At 38.5% G+C, this 18048-nt stretch overlaps 1 protein-coding gene and 1 pseudogene across 13 annotated transcripts in view, besides 3 other annotated features; both read left to right on the top strand.

Annotated features, from left to right (window-relative positions):
• TRANK1 (tetratricopeptide repeat and ankyrin repeat containing 1) overlaps positions 1–18048 on the top strand; it is a 118926-nt gene that overhangs the window by 63438 nt on the left and 37440 nt on the right. For 10 of the 13 annotated variants that reach the window (NM_014831.3, NM_001329998.2, XM_047449326.1 and 7 more), the window contains 2 exons: positions 8011–8181; positions 17827–17988. In NM_014831.3, the coding sequence (NP_055646.2) occupies positions 8011–8181; positions 17827–17988 (333 nt within the window). The remainder of the gene's footprint in view (positions 1–8010; positions 8182–17826; positions 17989–18048) is intronic. The other 3 variants (XM_017007570.2, XM_047449328.1, XM_047449329.1) reach the window with 1 other exon arrangement.
• CBX3P10 (CBX3 pseudogene 10) lies at positions 1578–3910 on the top strand (annotated as a pseudogene).
• Positions 5529–5698: an enhancer, noted in NCBI's record as "active region_19661". NCBI's record gives its function as "activates an Ori minimal core promoter by ATAC-STARR-seq in GM12878 lymphoblastoid cells {active_cell/tissue: GM12878}" and the evidence as "EXISTENCE:reporter gene assay evidence [ECO:0000049][PMID:35858748]".
• Positions 13146–13205: an enhancer, noted in NCBI's record as "active region_19660". NCBI's record gives its function as "activates an Ori minimal core promoter by ATAC-STARR-seq in GM12878 lymphoblastoid cells {active_cell/tissue: GM12878}" and the evidence as "EXISTENCE:reporter gene assay evidence [ECO:0000049][PMID:35858748]".
• Positions 16436–16611: a silencer, noted in NCBI's record as "fragment chr3:36907187-36907362 (GRCh37/hg19 assembly coordinates)". NCBI's record gives its function as "represses an EF-1alpha promoter that drives an FKBP-Casp9 reporter gene in an ReSE screen in K562 erythroleukemia cells {active_cell/tissue: K562}" and the evidence as "EXISTENCE:reporter gene assay evidence [ECO:0000049][PMID:32094911]".

Raw genomic sequence — 18048 nt, 5'->3', positions numbered from 1 at the left:
GTTTAAAAATTTTAGATACACTTTATACCCACCAGGATGACTAAAATAAAAAAAGATAACAACAAATGTTGACAAGGAAGTGGAAAACTTGGATCCTTCATACATTGCTGGTGGGTAAGAAAAATGGTGCATCTGCTTTGGAAAACAGTTTGACAGTTGCTCAGAAAGTTAAACAGTTACCAGAAGACCAAATCTGTCACTCATAGGTATATACCAGGAGAAGGTAAACATGCCCAAATAAGAACTTGTACATGATTATTCATATCAGCATTATTCATAATAGCCAGAAAAGTGGAAACAACCCAAATCTCTATCAACTGAGGAATGGATAAACAAAATATGCCATATCCATACAAGGGAATATTATTCAACCATAAAAAGGAAGTACTGATACATGCTACAACACGGAGGAAGATTGCGTTATGCTAGGTGAAAGAAGCAGACAAAAAAGACCATGTGTTGTGTGATTCCGTTGATATGAAATGTCCGGAATAAGGAAATCCCTAGAGACAGAAAGTAGATTACTGGTTGCCAGGGGTTTGGGAAGGGGAGTAGAGAATGACTTAATGTGTATGAGATTTATTTTAGGGGTGATGAAAATGTTCTGGAATTGGACAGTGGTGATGGTTGTACAACTTCATAAATATACTAAAACTAATTAAATTATATAGTTTATATTTATTTATTTATTTTTGAGAGAGATTCTCCTTGTGTTGCCCAGGCTGGAGTGCAGTGATGTGATCTCGGCTTACTGTAGCCTCTGCCTCCTGGGTTCAAGCGATTCTCCTGCCTCAGCATCCCAAGTAGCTGAGACTACAGGCATGTGCCACCATGCTTGGCTAATTTTGTTTTTTTTTTGAGACGGAGTCTTGCTCTGTCACCCAGGCTGGAGTGCAGTGGTGCGATCTCTGCTCACTGCAAGCTCTGCCTCCTGGGTTCACGCCATTCTGCCTCAGCCTCCCCAGTATCTGGGACTACAGGCGCATGCCACCATGCCTGGCTAATTTTTGTATTTTTAGTAGAGATGGGGTTTTACCATGTTGGCCAGTTTGGTCTTGAACTCCTGAGCTCAGGTGATCTGCCCTCCTCGGCCTCCCAAAGTCCTGGGATTACAGGTGTGAGCTACCACACCCGGGCAAATAATACACTTTAAAAGAATGAATTTTATGTTATATGAGCTGTATCTCAATGGAAAAAATATTTTAAAGGGGAAAAATATTGAAAGTTCATGTTTTTGATAAAAAAAAGTTCATTGGATGTGGCTTGAATTTAAGGTGCACAGGGTTGTAGATGCCACAGACCCATGACCCAGAACAGCTGAGAGGCAGTGAATAGTGGCTCTTCAAGTCTGCAATAAGAAAATGGCCTCCAATTAGGGTAACATCACACACCGGGGACTGTTGTGGGGTGGGGGGAGGGGGGAGGGATAGCATTAGGTGATATACCTAATGCTAAATGACGAGTTAATGGGTGCAGCACACCAACATGGCACATGTATACATATGTAACAAACCTGCACGCTGTGCACATGTACCCTAAAACTGAAAGTATAATAATAATAATAATAATAAAAGAAAATGGCCTCCAATTAAACTACATTGCAAACAAGGGGAAAGAAACAGAATGGAAAGAGTAAAAAAGTTGGAGAATTTGTGGTGGAAAAAGTAGTAGATTGATGTGTAGTGAAAGGGAAAGTGGATTATTTCCTCAAGTGGAAGGGATTTACAGATGCTACAGACCTACAGATGGAAGAACGTCATGATACAATGCTTGGTTACCTGAAGAAAATTTAGATTCTCCAGAGTTAATTGAAGCATTTATTAATTCCCAAATTAAGTAAAGAAAAGGAATTACAAAATACTTTATCTCACAGTAAATCTGATGAGAGCAAATCAAAGGAAAGAGATGCTGCTGAGAAACCAAGAGGGCTGGCTAGAGGTCTTAATCCTGAAAGAATAATTGGTGCCACAGACAGCAGTGGAGAATCGATGTTTCTCATGAGGTGGAAAGACTCAAATGGGGCCAACTTGATGCTGGCAAAAGAGACAAGTGTGAAGGGTCCTTAAATTGTAATTGCTTTTTATGAAGAAAGACTAACTTGGCATTCTCGTCCAGAAGATGATGTAATTGTTCACATTGTTTTATATATATATATATTTATGTTTATATATATTTATATGTTTATATATATTTATATATGTTTATATATATTTATATATGTTTATATATATTTGCATGTTTACATATATTTGTATGTTTACATATATTTGCATGTTTACATATATTTGCATGTTTACATATATTTGCATGTTTACATATATTTGCATGTTTACATATATTTGCATGTTTACATATATTTGCATGTTTACATATATTTGCATGTTTACATATATTTGCATGTTTACATATATTTGCATGTTTACATATATTTGTATGTTTACATATATTTGTATATTTACATATATTTGTATATTTACATATATTTGTATATTTACATATATTTGTATATTTATATATTTACATATTTATATATATTTATATATATTTATATATATTTATATATTTGTATATTTATATATATTTATATATTTATATATTTATATTTATATTTATATATTTATATATTTATATATTTATATATATTTATATATTTATATATATTTGTATATTTATATATATTTATATATATTTGTATATTTATATATATTTATATATTTGTATATTTATATATATTTATATATTTATATATTTATATAGATATATTTATACAAAATCTGGGTCTTGGTTTTTTATTTGCTAGTGTGAAGAAATAACTACATTCTAATGAAAATCAAGTTTGATATGTTCATTTTGAAATGGTATTGGGAGAGTTGTTGGGTTTGTTGTTTTTTTTCATCAGTAGAACTGGTTACTTTGAACAAAGAAACAAAAGCTCTCTGTAGTTGCTTCCTTTATCAGTAAAGAGCATTCAATACCATGGTATATTATTTCCTCTGCAGTAGGGAACAGATTTTCTAAATGTTGGGGAAAATTCTCATAGTCATTAATCATAACTTGGCTTCTCATAAGCCTAAGGATCATTCTGGTTGTTTTGTTTTTGTGTATGTATATATAAAATGCATATGTAAATAGTTTTCTTTCTTTTTTTTTTTAAACAATTGCCAAAACCAAAGTCCCAGGTAAGCCCATGTTTCTAATATGCCATCATTCTGAGCAATGTAAGAGATAAATCACTTCCAGATAAATTGAAAATTTTCCTGAAGCCATGTGTATCAAGTGAAATAAATGATTCTAATTAATCAGACAATTTAAATTGATATTTTAAAAGCATTTATATATAAAAATGCAATGGTTTGTTAGCAAAATTCCTTAAAGAAAAATTTTATTGTTGCCAACAACCCAGCAGCCTCCCTATCCAGATGAGGAAACTAGGAAAATCCTAGTACGTTTTAATTAAACAAGACAGTTAAATGGGCATTTAAAAAGATTTCTTTTAGTGAGCCATTTCTTTTCTTTCTTTTTTTTTTTTTTGAACTTTCATTTTAGGTTCGGGGGGGGTACTTTTGCAGGTTTATTATATAGGTAAACTGCATGTCATAGGGGTTTTGTGTGAAGATCATTTCATCACCTGGGTAATACGTATAGTACCTGATAAGTGTTTTTTCTGATCCTCTCCCTCCTTACACCCTCCATCCTCAAGTAGGCCCTAGTGTCTGTTGTTTCCCTCCTGGTGTCCAAGTATTCTAGCTGTGTAGCCCTCACTTACAGGTAAGAACATGTAAGTTGAAATCCCTGTTGCTACATTGACCTAAAGGTCATGATTCATGGACTATCTAAGACGTTGCTCACGGAAACTAATCAGATGGTTAGAGATGTTGGTAGTTTAGGACCTGCAGCTGTAAATGAGTGAACCAAGTCTTGTAATCTAAAGCAGTGGTCCCCAACCTTTTTGGCACCAGGGACTGGTTTTGTGCAAGACGATTTTTCCACAGATGGTGGGGTATAGTTGGGGGTGGGAGAAGAGGATGGTTTTGGGCTGAAACTGTTCCACCTGAGATTGCCAGGCATTAGTTAGATTCTCAAGAGTGGCAACATAGACCCTAGATCCCTCACATGCGTAGTTCACAACAGGGTTGCACTCCTATAAGAATCTAATGCTGCTGCTTATCTGACAGGAGGCGGAGCTCAGGCAGTGATGCTCGCTGTCCTCTGCACACCTCCTACTGTGAGGCCCGCTTCCTAACAGGCCACAGACCAGCACCTGGGGGGTTGGGGACCCCTGATCTAAACTATTGACTCGCATGTTTTTTCTTTACCTCAACTTATTCCTTACATGTAGGCTTAGTCTTTTCAGTATTTGTTTTACTGGTTCAGCAGAAGCCAGGAAAAACAACTTTGTATTAATCAGAATGTTATCCAACTGTATATTGTTTATTATTTAAAATACTGGTGAACGATGGTCAATAAATAGTTTTGTATTCCTTTAAAAAATTCAGACACTTTCAAAGAATGTGATAAAAAGTAAATCTCTTTCTACAAAATCAACTACTAAAACTTTTTTTGTCAGTCTTGCTAGTAATGTATATGTATAATGCCAGTTTTTTCCCTTTTAAATATAAATGTAGGTACACTGTACATTCTGTTCAGCAACTTGCTTTCTTCACTGAACAATGTATCTTAGTCATCTTTCCCTAATAGTATCTGCATGGCAGTTTCATTTTTTTAACAACTCATACTAATAGATGGTTAAATGTATTTTAGTTCATTTTGCAATTGAAAACAAGGCTTGGAGACCATTCTTTTACATACATGTTTGTGAATCAGTGGGGTTGCATCTATAGGATGATTTCCTTGTTAAGAAATTTCTTGTTTGAAGGAACTGTACATGTTATTTATTTGGATACATTTTAATTTTATTTAAATTTTAAATATATTAAAAAATCAAAAGGTACAAAATGTATACATCAAGAGTCTATTCTACTCTGTCCATTAGGCAGCAAGGAATGAGTGTTACTAATATCTTACATTTTTTTCTGCAAATATTTTATGATGTACAAGTAAAAGCGTATATGTTTAAGATGTGCTAGCTTATTGGTATGCATTTGGATTTTGAAAGCTATTGCTAACTTAAACCCCAGAAATGTTGCCTGAACACTGGGTTTATTATCTCCTTCTTAAGTATTGTTTGGTACATAGAGAATCAAGAACTTTCCAGATTATTTAAGTTGGCCTAAATTTTAAACCCATTTGAAAAAATTGCAGTGTCAGTTGGGCCTTAGAAATCTTCAGCTTTGTTTGTAATTTGGTGGGTGCTTGTTGTTACAATGGTCTCATTGGCTCTGGTACATAGAGATTTCAGAGGCTCAGGAACTCACCAGAGCTGGGCAGCAGCAGAACCCGTCTAGATATGGTTAGCTCCTGAAATTGAAGGAGTGAGGTTGGATCATTACATCTGTCTTGGTTAGAAGCTACACTCAAACTGGTTTAGGCAGGAAAGAGAATTTATTGTCTCATGCGACTGAAGACTCCAGAGTTTGGTTCAGGTGCTTGCTTCAAAGCTGTCTTCATGAGTCTGTCTTGCCTTTTACTCCGTTGTGTGAAGAAATAACTATGTTCTAATGAAAATCAAGTTTGATATGTTCATTTTGAAAGTGGTGTTGGGAGAGTTGTTAGGTTTGTTTGTTTTCATCTGTAGCGGTTTGTGGTTATTTCTTCTTTCTGTTAGTTTCGTTTTCAGACAGGCTGTCTTTCAGTTAAGGCCACCAGAACCTTCAGGCTTACTTTCTGCCAATTTGTCAATCTCAGTCAAAGAGGATACCTCCTCCCAATAGCTCCTAGTGTGTCTTAGTGACCTGACTTTGGTCACATGTCCTCCCTATGAACCAATCAGTCACTAGAGCCAGAAGAATGGAATGATCTGATTGGCAAGGCCCTGGCCAGGATTTAGCCTCTGGAAGAGGGTATGGGACAGAGCTAGAAGAACAGAATGATTTGAATGGCCAGATCCTGGTTAAGTGTTAGCCCCTGGACCTGGGCGTTGGTGAAATGGTAGAGAATGTGGTTGTCACAGGGGTGTGTGTCAGTCGGTCTGGTGTTCACACCATCAAATCTGGTAAGGCTGAGAGAGAGGAGGTGCTGTCTCAAAGGAAAACTGGGTGGTTCTCAGAAAAAGGGAGAATGGATACTGACCAGACAAAAAAATAAGTCTTATTTGTTGGTGGTTTTCAAATTTTGCTTCCTTATCCCCCCTTAAAGAATTTTGAAAACCTGTGTACCTCTCTGCATGTATTTAAGTTGACATCTGGAATTTTGTATAATTTTGTACACATGGATATTTTAAAATAAAACTGTTATTTCACTTCTTTACTTGTATTTAATAGAATGGAAATGACGTCCTCCCAACATTTCTGTGATTGTAAGGCTCTAAGCGTTACTTTTTTTCTGGATTGAATTATTCCTAATTATCAATATGGAGCTTATCAAAACAACATAAATATAGTGAAATTTCTATAATTGTTAAACATAAAAATAAAATTCTGGGGGGAAGTAGGTAGGGGATGGATTATGTAGTGCCTTTTAAAAGACGTTTTGCAGGTATCAGTTAGTTTTAATTGTCCTTTGGGTTGATACCCTGGAGGTTAGGAGTTTTTACCCCCTTTGGGGCAGTATACTATAGTTATGCTGTGTCACCATACACTTAGTGGCTTGAAACAACACCCATTTATTATACGTCAGTAGAGTGACATGATGTGACTGAGTTTTCTGCTCAGTGTCTTGCAAGGCTGAAGGTGTTGGCTTTGGCTATGTTCTCATCTGGAGTTCTGGGCCTGCTTTTAAGCTCACATGGTTGTGGAAGAATCCAGTTCTTTGCCATTGTTGGATTGAGATCCCAGTTTCTCTGCCGGTTATTAGCCAGAGGCTGCTCTTGACTTCTGCAGGCCACACACATTCCTTGTCCTGCCTCTTGTATCTTCAAAACCAGCAGAGGAGAATTTCTTGTGCATCAAATCCCTCTCATACTCTGAATCTCTGACCTCTAGAACTTTGACTGTTAGGACTCATGTGATTAGGTCAGGCCTCTCTGGATAATCTCCCTATATTAAGATAAACTGATTTGGGACCTTTGTTTCATTTGCAAAATTTCATCACAGCAGCACCTAGGCTAGTATTTGATTGAATAACTGGGAAAAAGTGTGGATGCACAGCAGGTCAGAAATCTTGGGGGCTTAGAATTCTGCCTACCACAGTGAGATTCTCGATGGGTGGGAAATATGACTTAATTCTTTTTTTTTTTTTTTGGTAAAGTGGGAGAAGTGCAGTTGCCTTCTCAGGAGGTGAATTTTAGGAAAGCTTACATATGGAATTTGGAGATTAGGCATTGAGTCATTTAACTCTCTGTGCCCATTTAAGTCTTTGTGTACCCCCAGGGATATACCTGTTTCATTCCGCAAACAGTTGCATCTGTGACCACAGACATACGTTGATGCTTGGCAAATGGATACATCAGAGCAGCAAATGGAGTTGGCATCCAGGGAGTTGGGGCTAGGAGGGTGGTAACAGTGACAACAAAACAGCCCCTGATGCCAAAGCAATCACCGCTTTCATGTCCTGTCTCCAGGCAGACTTTTCTCCTGGAAGAATATTTTGTTTCCTCTCTAGGGAATAAAGAAATCTGAAGTCACAGCTTGATGTTATCCTTACAGCTGTAACTGTTGCTTAGTAACCAGATTCCCCCTCTCCTTGCTTGTTACCAAGGAGAGGGGAGAAAGGTAGAGAGGAGCGCACTTCTGAACCTCTTGAAAGCTATTGTCCTTCCCACTCCACAAAGAACTCCTTGCTTCAGGGAGTTGAGTGGACTACCTGAGGCTAGCAGTGCAGGCTCCACAAACAGAAGACCCTAGTCCTCTTGCCCTGGGCTGCTTGGGAGGAGACTGAGAAGAAGAGCACTCATGGGGACATCTTATGGAAGGAACCATGACAAACACCCCTTCTCATTTTGGCCTGCCCTAGGACAAACAGAGGATGTGCAGATGCTCCTGCGCTTTGGGGCAGATCCCACTTTGCTGGATCGACAGTCTCGGTCTGTTGTGGATGTCCTGAAGAGGAATAAGAACTTCAAAGCCATCGAGAAAATCAACAGTCACTTAGAAAAGCTAGCTACGTGTTCTAAGGACCTATCAGGTACAGCTTCCAGTGTATTAACTTTTGGGGGGCATAAAACTGGTTCTGTGACATTAGATACAAATCAGTTTATCTCTTTTTGGTATATATATATATACACACACATATATATATGGAAGTGAGACCTACCAATCTTTGGAAAACTTGTTTGCTTTTTTTTTTTTTTTTTAAAGGTAGAATGAGATAGCTCTTATTTAGAGAGATGCTATGACATTCTGGGAACTTTTTCAAGTCCACCTTTTGACAGTGTGGGTGATTTTTTTTTTTTCCCATGCATGTACACAGCAAAAAAAGGAAAAAAATTAGACAGAATATGAGATAACAAAATCAAGTCTATTCCTTAGAAACAATTATGGCCAACAATTTAAAATACACGTACATCTCTATTTCTTGGTTTATCAATTTTGGACAGCATCTGCTGACAAGACCACGTAAAAGATGAAGTGCTTGGCTGTGTCAGTCCTATTTGTTGGGTTTTGTTTAGTAATGCTACGTGTATCATTTATATTCTATTTCTTAACTCTAAGTTTTTCATGCTGCATCTACAGATTGATTCTAAAAATTGCAAATTAGTGAATGACATTTGCATGGTAGTATAATTATGTAAATGTTACTCTTTCTACAACTAGTAACATGGGCAGACCTATAGAAAGGAATCGCCAAATGTCCTGAAAACTTTGCTCTTTAAATGTGATACTCTTTAAGCATCTCAGTTTAATGAAACATGTATATATTTTTATACTTCTTGTAGTTTTTGCACTCATACATGACTCCTATGGCTACTGTTATCCACATAGATTTCCTCCTTGATATGTTGGAGTACTTGGTCAAGTAAGTTTTTCATGGAGGAGGCATAGATAGTAGACTTACAGAATTTTTGAAAATGTCTTTCTTTTACCCTCATATTGATGGATAATTTGTCTGAATATAGGCATTGTATTTCTTCAATAGTAAGTTACACTCCCCCCTGCCTCCCAGCAATTTTAACATCTTTGAAATGGGAATGTGTTTTATAATCAGTGACATGTCATAGTTTAATGGCAGTCTTTTCTGGTATGTTCATCGATATCTATGGTATCTTAGTTTTATGAAATGTACTGTAAAACCTTGTTCCTCACAATGTATAAATTATTTCATTATCTTCTAGCTCCCATTGCTACTGACAGAAGTCTGATGTCAGTCTCATTTTTTCCCCCTCTAGAATTTTCTCTGTCCTCGGAGTCCTGCAATTTCCCTAGTATGTATCTAGATATGGGTCCTTCCTCATTCTTCTGGCTTGGCACGTGTTGGCCCCTTGCATTCTGTTTTCTTAGCTCAGGGGAATTATCCTCTATTATTTTGTTCCCATCCAAGTCTCTTTTCTCTTTGCCACTGCTATTAAATGGATGAGCTTCTTGAATTTATAATATATGTCTCTGTACCTTTCCCTACTAGTCTCTATCTCCTTTTCTCTTCCCAGATCTTTAAATTCATCTAAAACTTCTCCTTTTATAATTTATCTTGTCCATTGCTGCATTTTTTAATTTGGAAAATTATAGTTTTAATTTCTAGAACTCTTTTGATTGTTTCTTATCTATAGCAGCTTATTCATGTTTTATATTTGCCACATCTTCTTGAATTGCATTTAAAAAAGCAAATACTTTTTTTTTAAAAAAAGTTTCTCCTTTCTTCTCTGAATTATTAATGTTACTTTTGGGGTTAGTTGACTCATTTTCTTTTTTTTTGAGACGAAGTCTCGCTCTGTTGCCCAGACTGGGGTGCAGTGATGCGATCTCAGCTCATTGCAACCTCCCATCTCCCAGGTTCAAGTGATTCTCCTGCCTCAGCCTCCCAAGTCATTGGGATTACAGGCATGTACCACCACACTCGGCTACTTTTTGTAGTTTTAGTAGAGACTGGATTTCATCATGTTGGCCAGGCTGATCTCGAACTCCTGACTTCAAGTGATCTACCTGCCTTGGCCTCCCAAAGTGCTGGGATTATAGGCATGAGCCACCATGCCCAGCCTGACTCACTTCTTGCTTCTCTTTTGTGCTATTCCTTTTCCCTAATTATCTTCTGATCTTTGGATGGTTTGTATGTATGACTGAAGGACTAGATTGATTAATACTTAATAGTTGGTAAGCATTTATTTCCTGCAGTTATTTAAATGTGCTTCCCTAGAAACACTCCCTCTCTTGAATGTGCAAGTGGGCAGCAAATTGCAGGCAACCTGTAGAGGGCATGTGTTGGGGTGGGAGATAGTCTGTCAGGCTGCAGATTATTGCAATTGCCAGAGTGAGAAAAGTTTTATGTGAGGGAGATTGAAGCTGCTTTTTAAACACTTCTCCCTTGACTCCATTTCCCCATTTATGTTTTAATTTTTATTTATTTATTTTAAAGATGTCATTTCTATGAGACTGTGAGAACAAGGAGAGAGGGGTAGAGCCCTCTTTTTATTTTTTTCCTTTTCATGGGTGTTCTTTTAAAGCTTTGACATATGATGTTTAGTTTTTAAATGACCTCATGTTTTTAGGAATACTAATTTCTTCGTGAGGTTGTATAATGAGTAGGTCATTGTGGAATGCTTTTTGAGAGCTTGTGCATATCATCTCAGTTTCAGAATGGTTTCCATGATTTGAGAAACTCCAAGTAGCCAAACAGGTCAGTGAATTTTCAGGCTTTAAAATAATGGCAAAAGAAGAACCACTGGTTAGTGGTAGAGAATGGCTGACTTGTTTGATATATATATTTTTAAGAGACGGGGTTTCACTCTTGTCACCCAGGCTGGAGTGCAGTGGCACGATCTTGGCTCACTGCAACCTCCGCCTCCCCGGTTCAAGCGTTTCTCCTGCCTCAGCCTCCTGAGTAGCTGGGATTACAGGCGTGCACCACCACACCCAGCTAATTTTTGTATTATTAGTAGGGACGGGGTTTCAGCGTGTTGGCCAGGCTGGTCTTGATCTGCTGACCTCAGGTGATCGCCCACCTTCGCCTCCCAAAGTGCTGGGATTACAGATGTGAGCCACTGCACTCAGCCTGCAAATTTTATATTTTATTAATTTTAATCTCAGTTCTTAGAATACTGTGCATGTTCTATTTAGTGTTAAAGTCTTTGGCCTAAGTCATTCATGTTGGTTTAGTTTTTAAGGTTTTAGGTTTTTTTTTTTTTTTTTTTTTTTTTAGTTTCCTTGTATAATACAATCCTTGAATATCTGTTAATCCTAAAAATGCCTTGTCTTCTGAGGCAAGGTTCTTGCTCTCGCTTCTCTTCTCTTTCCTTCACCAGTTAAATGTGACCTGGGTTTGGAACCAAGAGAAGAGACTCAGTAGAATCTCAGTGTGTCCCCTTTTCACTCATTAGAATTCACCTGTACTTGCTTGGCAGAAAAGCATGCATGAGAGGACTGTGCATCGTTCCAAGCTTGCCATTTGGCTTACCAGGTAGCCTGTGATGGTAGTGGATGCAGTCAAGCCTAAAGCCTTCCGTACTCAATGGTAAACTTGTTGGACGTTTGATTTCTGTAAAGTTTTCCAGGCCACTGGTCACAAAGATTTTCTTGCCATGCTAGAGGAATATTGAAAGACTATAGAGAAACATGAGTGAAAGGAACTAGTAAAAAAAAATCTGTAAAGAGGAGAAGTTAATCAGGAAGGGCTGGCAAGGTGGAGTTGTATATTTCCCAAAGTATTCTAGGCAGTGGAACTCTCTCTCTCTCTCTCTCTTTTTTTTTTTTTTGAAACAGAGTTTTGCCCTTGTTGCCGAGGCTGGAGTGCAATGGCAGAATCTCTGCTCACTGCAACCTCCATCTCCCGGGTCCAAGCGATTCTCCTGCCTCAGCCTCCCACGTAGCTGGGATTACAGGCATGCATCACCATGCCCGGCTAATTTTGTATTTTTTGTAGAGATGGGGTTTCACTCTGTTGGTCAGACTGGTCTTCAAATCCTGACCTCAGGTGATCCACTCCCTTCAGCCTCCTAAAGTGCTGTGATTATAGGCGTGAGCCACCACTCCTGGCGCAGCAGTAGAACTTGTGGAAAAGCCTAAATAAAGCCTATGTGAACTCTATAGGTGATGATCTTTGAATGAAATTATATATTGAATATCACTGTTCCTTTATACATCCAGAGAGTTGTATAGAGTTACATGCATACATTTTGTTTCTAAGATTTTACTGATGGCACAAAGTTTAAAACCTAAGGTGGGGCTGGGGGATCTTTCTAGACTAGGTCCATGAAGTATAATTTTCCTAGATGATGGAAATGTCCTACACCTATTCTGTCTGATATGATAGCCACTCGTCACATGTGACTGTTGAGCAGTTGAAATGTGTGTGGCTCATGCATCTGAAGAACCAGAAATTTCATTTTATTTAATTAACTGTAATTTTATGTAAGTTAGTGGCCATGTATGGGATAATGTAGCTTTAGACTTTAGCTCCCAGAAGGTGTTTCTATCCAGAAAGTAGTTGAAGAGACTGGGAGAATCAAAGGAGGAGGCCCAGGGCCATGGGAATGAAGGAGGATCTACTTTGTTTTTATGGACCTTAATCCTTCCCCATCCTAATCCATTAAAGGGACAGATGGAAGCATTGTCTTTAGGAAGAGCTGCCGCTAGGGAGCTGTATCTGTGCCTAACATTTGTTTTTTGCATCTATGGTCCTGAGCACAATAACATTAGGATTTGAGTTGTTTTACATCCAGATGAATGAACATTCCAATTTACAGACCATGATGAAAGATACTTTCTCCCTTGACTCTTCCTCAAGTTTGCTGTACCCCATTTTGCTGATAACAGTGGTCCTTATCTCTTAGGATGGGGCTGCTTTTGGCATCTAGGTGAGAAATAAAGGGTCTTGCTAAAGATTTCTGCTGTTCTCTAAACCAGTGTTTCTCCATCTTAACATGTACATGAATTATTTGGGAGCCTGCTAAAATGCATGTTTTGATTCAGCAGGTTCAGGGCAGGACCTGAGATTCTGTATTTCTCACTAGCTGCCAGGGCAAGCCAGGGACCACTTTGAGGAGCAAGGCTTTAGTCCTAAATAGTCAAGATTACAGAATGGTCTTTATCCAGTTTTCATAGCCACCACCAGATGGCAGCATGTCCACTTTCTCTACCTGATGTTGCTGCTCAGCTCTTTCCTTGGGACCAAGAAGCGCAAGATTGGAGCCTTTGTTTTTCTCACAGTTGTTTGTGATCTTCTCTCTGATTTACTAGTTCTTGGCCTTTTCGAGTCAGCTTACATCAGGCCTCTGAATCCTTATCTTTCTGGTCCTCCAGTGGGGAGCCAGCTGCTTTCTGCTGTGCTCAGCACCAGGACAGTGCCTGTTTTCAGTATATGCAGGCATAGGGTATTGACTTAAAGGATGTCTGTCATACTTCTTCCTTTTTATAAAACCAATCTTTTTATATACTTAGAAAATTTATGAAATGTAGAAAAGAAACTATTAATTATCTGTAATTGTACCTGCCAGAAAAAAATTAATGTGTTTGTGATTTGGTCATTTAGTCTTATTCCATGCATTTTTAGTTATATATTTATATTTTCTTTTATAAAATGTGATGAGAATGTAAATTTAAATTGATAAAAATGTATGTAATAAAACCTAACACTTTTGCTTTTTAAACCTTATAAAAAGATTTTGGACAAAAATGAAATCTCCTTTTGAAATAATTTATTTCTATTTTCTATTACTTCTGACTATGGTTGCAACTTCAGAAGAGCTTTTTAATTTTTAATTTCAAATCTGTGTATATACACAGTAAGTCATCACTTAACATTATTAACAGGTTCTTGGAAACTGACTTTAAGCAAAATGATGTATAACAAAACCAGTTTTACGGTAGGTTAATTGATAACAAACAAGAGTTAAGTTCCTAAGGCATAGTTTTGGTCACAAAAACATCACCAGACTTCTAAATAAAGATCTAATATTAAACATGGAAATAAATGTGAGCTATATATACATTTAAGAAAGGTTAATAAAAACAAGTAAGATAATTATTTACCGAGTTATTCCAGTTCAGTGTTGAAGGTGGCCAGTTTATTCCGGCAGCTTAGGGAGCCAAGTGGGAGCCAGCCCTCCACAGGATTCCATTCAATTGCAGGGCTCACTCACACACATCCGCACTCACTCAGACTGGGACAACTGAGACATGTGAGTTCACCTATCGTACACATCTTTGGGGTGTGGGAGGAAACCTGAGTACTTAGAGAAAATCCATGCAAAGATGGGAAGAACGTGCAAACTCCACACAGTGTCCCCGGTGGGGACCAAATTTGTTTTCTCATCGATGTTATAATGAAATTCTGTTGAAAGGAATGTTATTTGAGGACCTGCTATATTTGCTAAATGTGATCATTGTTGAAAATTTGTAAAAGTATAGTTTTATATAAAAGCAAATTTATTGTAATTGCATGTTAGCACATTTTTATTCAGTCTTTTGTTGTTCAGTACTTACGTAGTCATCTTTTAAAAAACTCTTGATTATAATGCATAAGCAACTTTGTTTCCTGATGTTTCTTTTGACTCTTTAAGCTTATAGGAAATTTAGAAACAAAATCAGAAAAGATCAGTGAAGTAAACAAGTCACCCACAGCCCTCCTGCCAAGGGATACCATTTGTCAGTATTTAGCAACTTTCCATCTGTATCATTCTCTGATTTCTTTCCTGATGTTTGAATCTTTCGCTCATCTATAACTGCCTTCTTAACAAGTCTGAACCATGTAATCATGTATTTATTATGCAGCTGCATCTAATTGTGTCTTTTGTTGAGCTTAGTATGTTTCTGTTCATTTTCATGTGAGTTTTTTACTAAACTTACTTTCCTGGGGGAAGAATGATGTTTTTGCAAAGATTCTATCAGGCAGACAAGCAGCAAGTTTCCATCAGCTTGATAGTGAAGGAAGTTTCTCTTTTACCAAAGGTCCTATTTTTTTTTTTGTACTGTGAGTTTTCATCCTTTTTTGTTTGTCTTCATAGGTATTTTAGGATGAAGATGGGAGGGGAAAGTCCAGGGATGCTAGCCAGATATTGCTTTACTACACATAATTTCAGTCTCAGTGAGCTTCCAGCCAGGGTGATGTGGGTCTTTCTTTGCCAAATGATTATCATTTTCTGTTCTCTGGAGGATGATGCTATAGTGGATCTTCCTTCTGCCTGGCACCTGAACGTCTCTTGATTAGAGTGGGCAATGAGTGTTTGCCCCGGAAGTGGATGTGTGTATGTTTCTGGTGTTCTGGCTTGATTTATTGAAGTGTGATTTAGATGTGTGTCAGAAGGGGTGGCAGATGTTGGAGAGCTCTGTCTGGATTCCCCTGGATCCCTTTCACCATTTCTGAGTACCCCCTGACATTGGTGTGTGTGCAGTTTGAAAAGTCAGCACCCAAGGCTTGTTTTCAAGGGAGTGTCTTTGGACTTATAGCGGCTGTTTTGCTCTTGCTTCTTTTTAAACCAGAAATGTCTGGGAATTTATATTGTCCAAAGGCAGCCTGCAGCTAGTGACTGATAGATGCGAGAATATGAAAGCTCATTTCCTTTGCCTTGCACAGGGACCACTCTGAAGTGTGACTCACACTCCAGAGCCTTCCTGTGGGATCAGGCTGAGACCACCCTCTGTGGGACTTTGCCTGAGTGCATACCTGGGTTTGGCTTCCCCTCTCACCCTTACTCTGCTTCCCCCACTCACCTACTGGTCTTCCTCCTTAATAAACTACTTGTGGACAAATCTGGTGTCTGCTGCCAGGGAACCTGACTGAAGCATGCTTTTAATTTTTTTCCTGTTTTCAAATAGGCTGTCTCTTTTAAAGTATTCCCACTCTGGTAGAACATGACATTGAACATTCATTCATTTCTTCACAACCATGATAGTGCTACTCTGGGCCAGGCTCTTTTCACTTGGTGTGAAAATAAATGTCCAGTTCTGCTCTCTTATCTGTTCAGTAAGATTCCATTTTAATTAACAATACTTTTTGATACCTAATAAAAAAAATTTGTCATTTTTTCCAACACTTCATCGGTGACTCTTTCTTTCTTTCTTTCTTTCTTTCTTTCTTTCTTTCTTTCTTTCTTTCTTTCTTTCTTTCTTTTTCTTTCTGTCTGTCTCTCTCTCTCTTTCTTTCTGTCTGTCTCTCTCTCTTTCTCTTTCTTTCTTTCTCTCTCTCTCTGTCTCTGTCTCTCTCTGTCTCTCTCTCTCTCTCTTTTTTTTCTTTTGAGACAGGGTCTTGCTCTGTTGCCCAGGCTGGAGTGCAGTGGTGTAATCATTACTCATTGCCGCCTCAACCTCCTGGGCTCAAGCAATCCTCCTGCCTCAGCCTCCTGAGTAGCTGGGACCACAGGCATGTGCCATTACACCTGGCTAATTTTTGTATTTTATTTGTATATATGAATATGTCTATATATATGTATGTGTGTGTGTACATGTGTATGTTTTGTAGAGACTGGGTTTTGCCATGTTGCTCAGGCTGGTCTTGAACTCCTGAGCTCAAGCAATCCACCCGTTTCAGCCTCCCAAACTGCTGGGATTACAGGAGTGAGCCACCGCACCCAGCCAGTGGGTGTTTTCTCATCATGACTACTTTATCAAATAACTTGAATGAAAAAGATATTGCCTTCCCTTCCTTGGCCAGAGAGATGGCTCCTTACTTGGCCTTTTCCACTTGCAAATAAGACATAAAAGTTTGGGTGGCTGACATGTAGTTGGATGTTGCCATCGTGCTAAGCCATCTTTCTGCTGTCACTCCCTGAATTGTTATATCAGTTATTTATTACTGCATAACAAAATACTCCAATTTTCGTGGCTTAAAACAAGAAGCATGCTGGGTGTGATGGCTCACGCCTGTAATCCCAGCACTTTGGGAGGCTGAGGCGAGTGGATTATGAAGTCAGGAGTTCAAGACCAGCCTGGCCAATATAGTGAAACCCCGTCTCTACTAAAATTACAAAAATTAGCCAGGCGCGGTGGCAAGTGCCTGTAATCCCAGCTACTCGGGAGGCAGAGGCAGGAGAATTGCTTGAACCTTGGCGGCAGAGGTTGCAGTGAGTGGAGATCATGCCACTGCACTCCAGCCTGGGCGATAGAGTAAGACTCCGTCTCAAAAAAAAAAAAAAAAAAAAACCAAAAAAACAAAAAAACCCCCAAAAACCAACAAGCATTTATTTGGCTCCTGATCCTACAGGTCAGCAATTTAGTCTGGGCTGTTCTTATGGCCTTAATTGAACTTACTCAAGGGTCTGCAGTCTTTGCTGATGTTGGCTGGTTTCTTTCACATCTATAGGGTCTCAGTTTGGACAACTAGGCCAATTCCTTCCTGTTCTATGTTGTCTCTTATCTCTCAGTAGGCTAGCCTGACTTGTTTACATGATGAAGGCCACAGCCTCAAGAAAGTCAGCAGAAGTATACAAGGCTTCTTGAGGCCCAGGCTTAGAAAGGGCACAAAAATCACATCTACTGCATTCTATTTGTCATAGCAAGTCATGAAGCTAGTCCAGAATCAGGGGAGGGTGGAGGGGAAAGAGGCTCCACTTCTTGATGAGAGGAGCAGCAAGTCACACTGCACAGCATGTGAGTATGTGGAGGGTTGGAGAATTGTGGTTATTTTTGCAATCTGTAACAGCTGCAATTTCTGTATTCAGAAGCATTACCTGGTGCTGTTTTGTAGGATTCAGCAATGGTGATGGACCCACTAGTGAAAACGACATTTTCAGGAAGGTCTTGGAGCAGCTGGTGAAGTATATGAACTCAGGAAACCGGTTATTGCATAAAAACTTTCTGAAGCAGGAAGTAGTTCAGAGGTTCTTGCGTCTCCTTTCTACTCTGCAAGGTAATTTTTTCCACAACGTTCAATGATGTTAAAAATGATTTATGTTCATTAAAATTCTTT

Source organism: Homo sapiens, chromosome 3, assembly GCF_000001405.40.
Source record: "Homo sapiens chromosome 3, GRCh38.p14 Primary Assembly".
Lineage (NCBI taxonomy): Eukaryota > Metazoa > Chordata > Mammalia > Primates > Hominidae > Homo > Homo sapiens.
This window is presented reverse-complemented; position numbering and strand designations above follow the sequence as displayed.